Raw genomic sequence first — 13,968 nt, 5'->3', positions numbered from 1 at the left:
ACTTAACTAAGCAGTCTCTTCATTAATCCCCTACAGCTGAATCTCTGTAATACCTGATGTGATGTATTTCTCCACAGGCCACAAGTGCCAGCAGCTGCACAGACACTTCTCTGTTTAGCCAGTAAGTAATCTACAGCAATTCCATTATTTAGCATAACTTTCACAAGAGAATTTAAAGTCTGTTTTGCAACCATAGCCTTTACAATAGAATCTGCTATAGAGCTTATTATGAGGGATAAATTTCTAGTCACTGTCTCTTTTACCCCAAACCATGGTGGAAAAGGACCTAATAAATAATGCCCTTCTAGAAGAGTGAAGGCCTCCTGGCATTGTTCTCTTTAACCCATGATGTGGGTTAAGAAGAATGAACAAATGTGTTATTTCTGACTATGAGGCCACATATGTACCTTTAAAATTTCTTACCTTCATTGCGCCTCATCTTCCATCTATCAAGGTATAAGCTTATCCATGTATAAGGCTGGCTTCAAAATCCTTCACAAATCAAAGTATACACAATTAGTACACACAACAGACCCCCTTTTCACTTCTATTGTTCATAGAGGCATAAGCAAGGGAAAAATATTCAAAGTAAGAGTCTCATGATAGTAGAGAAGTCTTGATGCATGATCTTGGGAAAAAGCTGTTCATATCAAGGATGCAATCTTCTTCTGGGTAGAAACTTCCTTGGTTAGCTTTACCTTAAGGGTTCTAATGGGTATAGTTCCAAGGGTGTAGATGAAGCCGTCTCAGTTGTGAAATTATTAGCCCAAGGTTCAAGGTCCTGAAGTTTTGCTGCAGTGTGGATGACAAGGGCAGTCTTTCTCTGAGGTTCTCAGAAGATCCGATCTTCAGGTTCTAAATTATGAAGTGGTTGATGGTCCTCAATAAGTGAACCATGAAATGCTTTCTTTACCTGGTGAAAATACATGGTGGTATAATAATCTACTGTTATAATGCCAGCCCTCTTGCATGGGAAAGCTTTTATACAACCAGAAAACATGCATTGAAAATGACAACTGAATGAAATCCCTCTATAAATGTCTGAATGGCCCATAAAGTTGCCAAACGTACCTAAAGCTTTGTCTTCCAAGGAATATGGGTTTCACAAACCAAACATTGGTCATAAACTATTTTAGCAATTTAGAAATCACCACACCAATATATATTTAATTTGGATCATTTTATGTTTTCCATGATGAGTCACAGAATGCAAAACCTTTAATAACAAAAGTTTTGAGAACTCAGAAAGGACAAGGCAGCCCTCCTGGTTCTCCGTGAGCCCATGCTTAATGTTGGACTTATGTTCTCTTGAATACCAGTTGTTTATCCAATTTAGGTGCGTAGCACTGACAACTAATGGGTTGTCATAGGTAATTTGACTTAGACCATGGAGTTCATTTAAATTGTGTATCTAAACAATTTCAGTATTGGTTGATTTAGCATGAAAATCTGGCAAAGTATTTTCTTGGTATTCAATTAATTTTGTTCTACCTGGGTTAGTGGTTTTATAAACCAGTCAGCCTTTTCATTAAAGTTATAGGAATTCTTACCTGTATTCAAGAGTGCTTTTCAGGGTCCGTTCCATCCTTTCATAAACCTCCTAAAATATATCATATTCTAGGATTTTCAGTGCTTGTGAAGTTTTCAAAAACTGCATCAGAATTAAGCAATTAACTGTAGAAATGACTTTAAACAGTCATAAAAACACAATTGACATGGAAATTTGGTTATTTCTGTGATCTACAATAACTAACATAATACCTGATATGGTTTGGCTCTGTGTCCCCACCCTAATCTCATCTTGAATTGTACTCCAATAATTCCCATGTGTTGTGGGAGGGTCTCAGTGGGAGATAATTGAATCATGGGGGTGGTTTCCCCCATACTATTGTCATGGTAGTGAATACGTCTCACAAGATCTGATGGTTTTATCTGGGGTTTCCACTTTTGCATTTTCCTCATTCTCTGTTTGCCTGCTGCCATCCATGTAAGAAGGACTTGCTCCTTCTTGCCTTCCACCATGATTGTGAGGCTTCCCCAGCCATGTGGAGCTGTAAGTCCAATGAAACCTCTTTCTTTTGTAAATTGCCCAGTCTCAGGTATGTCTTTATCAGCAGCATGAAAATGGACTAATACAGTAACCATAATTATGATTGATAGTATATATTTAGTCATATTAGAATTTTAGAAATCCCATACAATTTTGGAACATATATTAACATTCGCTAAAATATAACCTGAAGAAAAGTAAACATTATTTTTTATTTTGACAATACTTCCCATGTAACTTAACATGTCAAATAATCCTGTTTACCTATCTTTTGGATGCTTCAGGGGCCCTCTGTAGTATCCCAAAGTTAGAGGTTGGAAAAGACAATTTTGAAGCTGAAATTTGATTTTGGGAGGCCTGTCAAATATGTTAAAGATTTCAAACATTTGATATTATAAAATAGAATTCCAGGTCACCATAAGTTATTTATTTTGCCAAAATAATAACTCAAAAACTTCAAAAAGGCAAAAACTTTTACTTATTGATAGAGGGAACATTTAGCTTTCCAATCCGTCTCTTGTCTTTCCCTTCTTTTTCCTGTAGTTTATTTAAAAGGCAAGCAAAAATATTTCGTTATCCTTTAACATTAGATGAAAATCTTGTTCAAGAGAGAAAGCCAAATTTCACCCTTGCATTAGTGTACTCTTAATGTCAACCCCAATCTTTAATAAAACTTTACAGACAAATCTCTCGAACCTTAATCAGTTTTTCTTACAATAGCTGCAAAGAAAATTAAATACCTAGGAACTAATTTAACCAAAGAAGTGAAATATTTCCATAATAAAAATTATAAAACACTGGTGAAAGAAATTGAGGAGGTGACACAAAAAAATGGAGAGATATTCCTTGTTCATAGATTGGAAGAACCAATTATATTTAAATGTCCATACTACCCAAACCAATCTAGAGATTCAATGCAATCCTTATCAAAATACCAATGACATTCCTCACAAAATAAAAGAAACAATCTGAAAAATTTTAAGGAACCACAAAAGATCCAGGATAGCCAAAACTATTCTGAGCAAAAAGAACAAAACTGTAGGAATCACTTTGCCAATTCAAATTATACTACAGAGCTATAGTAACCAAAACGGCATGGTACTGGCATAGAAACAGACACATAAACCAATGAAGCAGAATAGAGAACCCTGAAACAAATCTATACATCTTCAGTGAACTCATTTTTGACAAAGGCTCCAAAAACATACATTGAGGAAATGACGGTCTCAATAAATGGTGCTGGGGAAACTAGATATCCATATGTGGAAGAATGAAAGTAAACACTTATCTCTTGCCATATACAAAAATAAAATGATTAAAGATTTAAATATAAAACCTTATACAAAGAAACTCCTACAAGAAAACACTGGAGAAAATCTCCAGGACATTGATCTGGGGAAAAATTTTCTTAAGTAATGCCCACAAGCACAGACAACCAAAGCAAAAATGGATAAATGGAATCACATCAAGTTAAAAAGGTTCTGCAAACTGAAGGAAACAATAAAATGAAGAGACAACCCATACAATGGGAGAAAATATTTGCAAATTGCCCATTTGACAAGGGAGTAATAACCAGAATATATAACAAGCACAAACAACTCAATAGAAAAAGAATCTAATAATCTGATTTAAAGATGGGCAAAATATTCGAATAGACATTTTTCAAAAGACAACATGCTAATAGCAAACAGTTATATGAAATGGTGCTAAACATCACTGATCATCAGAGAAGTGCAAATCAAAACTGCAATGAGACATCATCTCACCCCAGTTAAAATGGCTTTTATCCAAAAGACAGACAATAACAAATGCTGTTGAAGATATGGAGAAAAGGGAACCCTTGTACACTGTTGGTGGGAATGTAAATTACTAAAACTACTAGAAAATAGTTTAGAGGTTCCTTACACAACTAAAAATAGAGCTACCATATGATCCAATAATCCCACTACTAGTAATACCCCCCCAAAAATGAAATCAAGATATTAAAGAGATATCCGCACTCCCATGTTTATTAAAGCACTATTTGCAGTAGCCAAGATTTGGAACCAACTTAAGTGTCCATCAGCAGACAAATGGACAAAGAAAATGTGGTATATGTACATGATGGAGTACTATTCAGCCATAAAAAAAGAAGAAGACCCTATCATTTGCAACAATATAGATGGAACTGGAGGTCATTATGTTAAGTGAAATAAGCCAGACACAGAAAGACAAACTTTGCACGTTCTCACTTATTTGTGAGAGCTAAAAATTAAAACAATTGAACTCCTGGAGATAGAGAGAAGAAGGATGGTTACCATAGGTTGGGAAGGATAGTGGGAAGATTGGAAGGAAGTGAGGATGGTTAATGGGTACAAAAAATAGAAAAAAAAGAATAAGACCTAGTGTTTTATAGCACAACAGGGTTACTACAGTCAACAATAATTGTACATTTAAAAATAACTAAGAGTGTAATTAAATTGTTTGTAACACAAAGGATAAATGCTGGAGGTGACAGATATTCCATTTACCCTGAGGGGATGATTACATATTGCATGCCTGTATCAAAATATCTTATATATCCCATAAATATATACACCTACTATGTACCCATAAAAATTAAAAATTCAGAAAAGAAAAGCACTATATAAATATTGGCCATTATTATTTAAGTTTTAATGGTCAAGAGAACAAAAAATAGAATATTTAGGTGTGAACACACCTCCAAGAATTTTGCTCTACATCTAACAAAACACCTCGTGCACAAATGTAAGGCCTTCCTCTGCAGCCCAAGCTTGTATGTTGGGGCCTGAGGGAACTGGTAGTTATCTCAGAGAATCATTCTGGCATAATAGTACAGAGCTCCAGGGTTTTATTACTGAGTGCACAGGTGGCACTTTCTCATAGTACTTTTGAATCTGTACTCTTCCTGAAACTACGTTGAGTGCAGGAAACCCTGTCCTTGGTTTCCTTTGCCACTTCCTAACTAGGTGAGGGAGAGCGTACTTTCTTCTAATGGTTTATTGTGCAGAATTTCCACCTCACAGTTTAGAATAATAAATTCAATATTTTAAAATATGACAAGTATGTATATTTAAAAACACCACAAAATATATGAAATGTAACAAAACCTAGATGTTGTGTAATGTTTTTCTGTGATTTTTTTCCCTCAAGTAGGTGGCTATTCTGACAATTGCCTGTGACAATTCTTGTATAAATAAAATAACTTGCTCAGAATGTGGAAACCCTCAGCCTAACAAACACTTGGATGTATTTTACTAAAAATTTCAGGCTTTTCCTTTACACATGTTTAAAGAGCAATTGCAGAGCACAAATAACTGCTTTTCTCAGCATGTTTTAAATGAGGAAATAGAATTGTAATGCAGCATTGTCTCTCTCTCTCTCTCTCTCTCTCTCTCTCTCCAATTTCATCTCCGTCTATTCTTTTTGCTTATTTTAAGGACATCTACACAGGCTGACTGTGTAGATGTAGACACTCCAATAAAAACAGTCCCCTTGCTGTTCCAATTACCATGGCCTAAGAGGGCTAATTAGAAAATCCTGTGTCAGAACATAAACTGAATTTGAAAAAGAAAGTTGCCAACACATTTTTAGCTTTACTTCCAAGTTCCCAGTTGATATAAAGCTGTGAAAGAAAAATAAGAACTTGGGACCTCAATTCATTATGCCAAAAGGAACAAATGAAGCTGAAAGCTGAGTCATGCAAGAAGCTGCCTTTCCTTTTGTTCCTAAGCAGATAGCTAGAGATAAAAAGTTAAATGATTCCAGAGGTAGCTTATCTTATGTAAAGTGCCAATTTATTGAGCATGAGATGAATACATAATTGACTATTCCCGTACCCGCTCCTTTTCTCTTACAACATGGGGATTACTATACTCTACCCCTCTCCCCTCCAGCCTACATTTTCCCTTTAAATATTGAAGCCTTGAAATTTATCTTTGGAGAAAGACTCAGACCACAGACTGTTCCTGTGGGTCCATGTTATTTTCTTCCAGGCATGTCTTTAACCTTGGCAAAATAAACTTCTGAATTGATTGAGACCTGTCTCAGATACTCTTTGGTTTATAAACTGGTGGCCAATGGAAGAGATGAGGTGGCCTGATCTTTGACAAATCCATCCATGCTTGGTACCAGCTTGGCCTATCTTTATTGCTCAAACCAATAATACAATTTGCTGAGGTCTGGGAGGTCCCTTCAGAGAATCATTGCTCTCCCCAAATTTGGTTGAGGTCTAAGGTTCATTTTGCTTTATAACTCCTTTCCTGGAGTTTTACTCACTTCCAACAAGGAAGATTAGTTTTCCTGTTTCCATGATGATGGAGGGCCAGCAAGTCCTTTCTGGAGTTTCTGCTCCCTTCCAACAGAGAAAGTGAGTTTGAGTTTTTTCCTGCTTCATAGATGGTAGACAGCAGTGTTCAGCGTGAGCCTCATTCCTAGGTAAGTAGCTCAATTAGAGTTTTGTCTTGAAAATTCCCCTTAGTGACTAAAAGTTAAGATTGACAAGTAACTGGTCTTAACTTCTCCTTACCATTAAAAGTCCTCAGTAATCATATTTGTTTTGTTATTTTGGTTTTCTTCCATCAGATTTGATTAACTCTACCTGAGTTGGTCAAATTCGAAGGAGAACTCCAAATTACGGGGAACAAGGCCTCTGGATTCACTAAAATTCCATGCAGCTGCAAAAAAAAAAAAAAAAAAAAAAAAAAAAAGGCACGCATTTGGTTTCTCTGTTCACTTCCTTTCTTTAAAAATTGTCCTCTCATTTACTTTTCTTCTACTCTATTTGTCTGTTATAAAGTTTTGGTGCCACAAAAGAAATAGCACTTGAATATAATATTTTCTTTTTAATTCTCAGCGAGGCAAGGTACTTCTATAGAAGAGTGGAGCAATGGTGAGCGCACACTTGGACAAGGGAGGGGAAGGGGTTCTTATCCCTGACGCACGTGGCCCTTGCTGCTGTGTCATTCCCCTATTGGCTAGGGTTAGACTGCACAGGATAAACTAATTCCAACTGGCTAATTTAAAGAGAGTGAGGGGGTGGGGGTGAGTGGTTTGGCGGGAAAAATGGTTATGCAGGGTGGATAATGAGTCAGGGTGGAGCAGGTAGCAGGTCATCGGAATGAGTCAGGGTGGAGGAGGTAAACGGAGTGAGTCGGGGTGGAACAGGTGATTGAAATCAGTCAGGGTTGAGCAGGTAATCGACAAAGATTGCTTTATGAGGAAGTTAAGTTTAAAAGTAGAAGGCAAAGAATTGAACATACTGACATATTGATTCTTTGAAAAGAAATTTAGAACTCATATCTAACATCTCCTTCTCCTTTTGCCATCTTCAGTACCAAGTGAAAAGAAAATAGAGAAGGCTTCTAATGACTCAGACCCCTTAAAGAACTCAGAATTAAGGTGCCACTCACCCCTTTTTGAGCTGTTCTGATTTGCTGTGGAGTTTCAACAGTCATGTGCTGATTCTTCTCAGGTCTAAAGCTCTGCTTTCTTGTATCGCATTACCTGATTTATTTGGCTTTTGGGAGTACCAGAGATCACCTTGTACTGTGAGAGTATTTGCCTTTGGCGTGTGTAATGCTGCATGAGAGCTACAATGTTAGGGGTGGTTGAGGGCAGTTTACAGGAAATGGTCATTACTATAGGGGACGACTACTCTTTGTTTTTAATGTTTAGATAAGAAAATCCTGTATACTTTCTTCGCCCCATTCCTTAAAGGCCTCCACCCTAAAGCCAGTAATCTAATTAAGCAGCTAAGTTGAAAATACCACCTTTAAAGGAAATTTACATTTTGTAAGGGCATATCTGTCTCTGCACCTAAAGTTCCTAATGGAACTTTAACTAGGGGTAAGACAATAGCTTAAAGTTTACATAACAAAACTTGTCTTTGTTTAGATCTAATCCTGTGCCTTTGAGTTGTACATTTTCTACCTTGTTTCACGTGATTCATATCTTTGGAGATGCAAATTTAGAATTACCTAGTTAACAATGATTTAGGACATGGAACAGATAATGAAGAGGTTCATAGTCTAAAGTAGGGAAGAGAGAATTTTTGAATACTAGCAAATGAAAAATTTTAAATCTATAAGATCTGCCTCTGAGTCTATTATGTCTGTATGTTCATATGTGTCATGTGAAAATATTTCAGTACCAATTATATGAAAGACATCTAATTAGTTGGCTTAAAGAAAAGTAAACATTTGTCAGACTAATAGAAGCTAGCTCAGAGGCTTTTCAGTTCACATGACGTTAGTCATCTTTGGTAAGATTAATTTGGTTAATTTAGTCTCAAAATTTTCTCCAGCAATTTAAAATCTTAAGGTCATGTTATGTTAAATTAAGTAATCCTATGTTTTCTCTGGGAATTAGGGTTACTGAGAGTTAGAATAGTAGGAGAATAAGATGCGGTTTTGGTGAAGTTTGCAAAAAAAACAATGAGGATGTGATTTTTGCTTAAGAAAATGTACTTTTTTTTTCCAATTTGAAGGACCTTTCTACTGGTGTTGAGAAAAAAAACACTATTTGCATCCAACCATTTGTGGTAAACTGGTAAGTTTGTATTAATATCTCATGAGTAGAGTTCTGAAGTAAAAGCTATAGGATCTTTATTTGTACGAGTATGTGTATGTGCTTAGATGTGTTTATCTGTACATATGTGTATGCATGCTTAGGTGAGTTAAGGTGTACATACATGTGTTTTGTTACGTGTTGTGGCCACAAGGTACCAAATTGGATTAGAAATAAAGGACTACTCAGGAATTAAGTAAATGAGCCAAAATGCTTTGCAAGTTCACGTGACATAAGTAAATTGCAAATAAACAAGCTGGCTTTAAAGTTATTGGTAAAATAAAATTAGAAATGTCTTCAGAATTGTCAGCCTACATTATTGTTTAGATTTATTAGCTAGGAAGTTTTCTATTTATCTCTGCTAAATATTATGAGGTATCAAGATTTAGCATGAGTTATAAAGCTGTAAATGTAGCCCCAAAGAGAATTTTATCTTATATAATTTTTTGATAAATAAGAAATTTAATATTATTGTGAGAGAGAAGAGAGAAAGAAATCAACTAGGCAGATAGTTAGGGCTAGAGTCCTCAGTAGAATTCCCTTCCAACAAAAAGCAGCTTCTCTTCTAACAAAAAGCAGCCCAACAAGTCATTTCTCTTTTAGCAAAGAGCAGCCTGAAAGATCAGGCTGCAAACACAGATAAGGAAGGCAAGTTCTAACACAGAATGGGACCTCGTATGTAATCAACAAGTTTTGCTGATATATATTGAGCCCAAGTAGAGCACATTCCTCTCCCTTCTTGGAAATGCTCAGACAAGGAGGCTTGCACAGGGGAAGTGCCTGCAGCAGCACTGATAAGAAGAGCGACCCTGGACCAGGCACATCCACCACAGAGGGTTCTGACCCTCTCCTCTTTTTTTTTTTTCCACACATACGCAGTAGGAAGAGATAAGCAAGATGGAGTAACTCAGACTAAGGAGCCCACATGTGCACTAGAAAGGTTGGGGTGAAGACTGTCAGAAATTTGTGCCATATGCAAATGAAACACCTACTCCTGATTTTTTTTGTGCAGTATATAAATGAAACACACCTCCCCACCAGTTTGTCTATAAAAACCTTTGCATTTCACTGTAAAATGGCAACCCATTTTTCTAGGACCCCTCTTGGTGCCAGAGAGCTTTCTTCCTTTTGCTTATTAAAATTCTGCTCTAACTTCACCTTTGGAGTGTCCAGGTCCTTGATTTCCTCAGCCATGAGACCAAGAACTTTCGGTGACACCCCAGACAACAAGGCTGGTTTCAATTGGTTTAACTAAAACAACTAAATCTTGAATTATTGGCAACTCCCCCACCACCTATTTATTTAACCTTAAGGTTCTTACTTAGATAAACACCTGAAATCCATAGGCTATAAAAATGGATAATAGGGAAATAACTTTAAATGATTATCATAGTTTTCATAACGAATCTAGGTAAAATATTAAGAAATTAATTAGGTAAGTATAATGGAATAAATGCTTATAAAAACTTGTCATATAATTTAGAATCTAAAGTTAAATTAATAATAAATATTAATTAAATGGGTCTTTCCAATATTTTAAAAAAATTACAGGAAAACATTTTTCTAAAAAATAATGGGTCCTTATTAAAAAAAAAATTTTGTCTACTTCAAAGGTTATTTAAAGGTTATTTATAAAACAAGGTAAAGGAACCATTAAGTAAGAGAGATGACAAGAAAGTTGTAAATATAAAGAGGTATTAAAAGGAATATAATTTTATATGAGAAACAATTTTGTATTATACATTTTTTGCCCTAAAATAAAATGCCTGGTTATTTAAGAAAAAAGAATGTTTAGGATAAAACAGGAAGTCCAAACATGTCATAAATGGTTTGTGTAAATTGTAATAGGGTTTGTAAAAAGTGAATTTATGAAAAAAACCTATGTGATCAAGTTGGCTATAATTAAAAGGAAATTGATTTACTCTTAATAAAAGATATTAAAAGGTACTGATTTATTTTTAATAAAATTACAAGAGATTTTAAATTTTTAAACCCAAAAGTTCTTTTATTGCATCTCACTGTGTTTAGCTTTGTTTACCCTTTGAGAAGGCCTGAGATAATAACTTTCTTCTTCAACTCTTTCATCAGCTCCTGTAACCTTTTTTCCTTAGGTTCTAACTGATGTTGTGGCCTGCTGCTAAAAACGCTTTATCTTAAAGTTCTAAAAGGAAATGTTTTCTTCTAACATAACATTCTGGGCTCTTGACTTTATGAAATCAAAAACTTTCACTTATGACCCAGGATACACTCTTCCTCTGTCTAACTAATTCAAGCACTATCTTCATTCATTTTGACTTGCAGATTATCCAAACAGACTCCCCATAATGAAAAGCAATCACACTGCAGAAGTTCTTTTTTTTTTTTCCTTTTGGTAACCAGCCTAACAGATTTTATGTTTTATTGAAATAATTCCTATGTCATTGTTAGTAAACTTTTTATTTGCCTAGAAAATTGAGATTAAAAAATAAGTTTATTACATCCATATAACTTTCTGTATTGCTTTTAAAGTCCTCATGCTGTTAAGTTATAGGGCTTTGACTCCTAGATCTAAAAAGGACACCAAGTCCTGCTAAATCTTAAACAGTGACAGCAGTTAAATTATCATCTTCAGATTTGGGAGAAGATGACAATCAAATAAAGTACATTCGTGAGACATAGTGCCATAAATGAAAACTATTCAACTCCCCTAGGCCCAGGGACTATCACAGAAGTGGTGGGTGTGTGAGATTGTAAGGGCCAATTTTGAGAGAGAACATTAGTTCAGAGTTTCTCTATGAATTAAACATTAATATCAAAGGCACACTGATGAAAGATCAGCATGTGGGCACCTGTGTCAGATTAACAGGGTTTTCTTGGAGCATTAACTAACTTTTTAATAAAAAACAGGCTATAAAAATGTTTATAGAAACTATATATTATGGTCAAGATGACTAACGTTTAATAGTTTTTTTATAAGATTTGAGAGACAGATTTAATTGGCCTCATGCTGTCTTTCTTAGGGCTTATAATTTGGGAAAGTAAGTCTCCCCTCTCTAAAAGTTTTTGCTTTCTTTTCCCCAAATCTTTGAATTATTACTTTGGCTAAATGAATGACTTATTTTACAATGACCTGTGATCCTATTTTGTGATATCAAGTGTTTTAAACTTTTGTTTTTTGAAAAACTTTCCAAAATCAAATTCTAACTTCAATCTTTTTGACCTCATTACTGTTTTGATATTAGGCCCCCTGAAGTCCAAAGGAGATATATTTGGCTTATTTGGTATAATAAAATCATACAGGAATTATTGCCAAATATGAAATGGTGTTTAATCTTCTTTTATTTACATAAACGTGCTTTTAGTAGGCGTTCCAAAATTATATGAGATTCCTGTGATTCTGATATGTCTTAGTATATATTATCAGTAGTAATTATGATTGTTATGTAAAATTGACACAGAAATAACAAAATTTCCTTGTCAGTTGTATCTTTAACCATGGCTAAGACTTTTGTCATTCACAATTGTTGTCTTACTTTGATCCTTTTATAGGGTGGTTTATAATCAGCTATAACTCTGAGGAGTATTATTAAATATAGGTTTCTGATAAATTTAGAAATTATGCCATTGGGCCAGGAATGGTGGGTCACACCTGTAATCCCAGCACTTTGGGAGGCCGAGGCGGGTGGATCACCTGAGGTTAGGAGTTCGAGACCAGACTGGCCAACATGGTGAAACCTCATCTCTACTAAAAATACAAAAAATTAGCCATGCGTGGTGGTGGGCGGCTGTAATCCCAGCTACTCATGAGGCTGAGGCAGGAGAATCACTTGAACCCAGGAGGCGGAGGTTGCAGTGAGCCGAGATCAAGCCATTGCACTCCCATCTGGGCAACAAAAGCGAAATTCCGTCTTAAAAAAAAAAAAAAAGATACAGAAATTGTGCCATTGGAATAGAGTGAAAAATTTCCAGAACTTTTATGGAGAGCCAAATGTATTCATGAAGTTTACTGATCCAATATCAAGCAGAACAGGACTGAATACTGAAATACTATTTTATGACTTGAGGATCACCTGAGGTCAGGAGTTTGAGACCAGCCTGGCCAACATGGTGAAATCCTGTCCCTACTAAAATACAAAATTAGCTGGGCATCATAGCGCGTGCCTGTAATCCCAGCTACTCAGGAGACTGAGGTAGAAGAATCACTTGAACCCAGGAGACAGAGGTTGCAGTGAGCTGAGATTGTGCCATTGCACTCCAGCCTGGGCAAAAAGAGTGAAACTCTGTCTAAGAAAAAAAAAAAATAGGAAAGATCTTGTGTGGTCTGACTACACCATGAGGGAGGTAGTATTGTGAACCTTTGATTCCATCTCACAGCCCAGTGCTCTAGGAGTTTAACTTAGTGAAAATTCTTCTCAAAGTTTAATAATAGTTTTATCAGCAGAGCTAATTTTAATCCACTTCACCCCAGAAATATTTAAATGGAAAATACAGAGAGACTGGAGACCAGATGACATTTTTTATTATGCATTTGCATTATTTCACATCTTCAGAATAACAATACTAATACAACCACTGCCAAAACTGCTGAAGTAGTTTAGCATATATCTATACTCTTTCTTTTTTAACTCTCATTTTGTTTTAGTTCTACAAGTTTAATGTAGATAATGTAAATAAACATTTGCTGATACTTTTTGTCAGAGTCAAGAAAACTTTCTCTTCTTTTAAGCTATTTATAGCTTTTAAAAATTGAGCAAAGTATACTCTAATGAGCAAGATTTAAAACATAATTTCTTTCTACCTAATTTCTCCAAAATTTGGAAACTGTTTGTCAGTATTCTTAACTTATGGCAATATAGTTATTTGCATAAGTTCAATAAGAATTTATTTCATAACCAGACACAACTGGAGACATGGTTATTTTATGAAGCTTTTGACTGGAATGACATAGTTTCAGATGGCCTTGAGAAAATGAGGCTGACTTATGGAATTGATAAGAGCCCCTTGGAATAGCTGGCCTCATATCTTGTCCTTTACAGGGTTCTAACTTCTGGTAAGTAAGGAATGTCACTTTCTGACAGGTCCAGGAACCCCAAGTTTTCTTGGGACCTCAAAAAGAGAGGAATTAACCCAATTCATTCAGTTATCTGTGGGCACAGATAAATCTTTGGCTGAGCTTGAGACTTTTAAAAAGATTCCTTATGGAAAAGTTTCCAGCAAAGCCATTTTTTTTAAAGAGAGCCTATATGGCAAATGATGACTCTTGCTGCACTTTATGCAAATAATCAAGCCAAGTATAGTAAGACTAAAACTTATTTTACAAATAATTGGTACTACTCTCATTTTGTCTTTAATAAAATTGGGGAATTGGAGAG

The 13,968-nt window shown here is 35.4% G+C and overlaps 3 annotated features.

Annotated features, from left to right (window-relative positions):
* Nucleotides 6,534–7,733: an enhancer, noted in NCBI's record as "CDK7 strongly-dependent group 2 enhancer chr6:84686166-84687365 (GRCh37/hg19 assembly coordinates)". NCBI's record gives its function as "activates an origin of replication core promoter dependent on BRD2, BRD4, P300/CBP, MED14 and CDK7 cofactors, with strong dependence on CDK7, by STARR-seq in HCT116 cells {active_cell/tissue: HCT116}" and the evidence as "EXISTENCE:reporter gene assay evidence [ECO:0000049][PMID:35650434]".
* Nucleotides 6,936–7,230: an enhancer, noted in NCBI's record as "tiled region #12168; HepG2 Activating non-DNase unmatched - State 24:Quies, and K562 Activating DNase matched - State 5:Enh". NCBI's record gives its function as "activates a minimal TATA promoter and a strong SV40 promoter by Sharpr-MPRA in HepG2 and K562 cells {active_cell/tissue: HepG2 | K562}" and the evidence as "EXISTENCE:reporter gene assay evidence [ECO:0000049][PMID:27701403]".
* Nucleotides 9,124–9,729: a transcriptional cis regulatory region, noted in NCBI's record as "candidate enhancer chr6.3721 targeted for multiplex CRISPR interference". NCBI's record gives its function as "positively regulates CYB5R4, CEP162 and MRAP2 gene expression with high confidence in K562 cells {active_cell/tissue: K562}" and the evidence as "EXISTENCE:mutant phenotype evidence [ECO:0000015][PMID:30612741]".

Source organism: Homo sapiens, chromosome 6 (genome assembly GCF_000001405.40).
Source record: "Homo sapiens chromosome 6, GRCh38.p14 Primary Assembly".
Taxonomy (NCBI): domain Eukaryota; kingdom Metazoa; phylum Chordata; class Mammalia; order Primates; family Hominidae; genus Homo; species Homo sapiens.
Note: the sequence above shows the minus strand (reverse complement) of the source record. Positions and strands in the feature narration are given on the sequence as shown.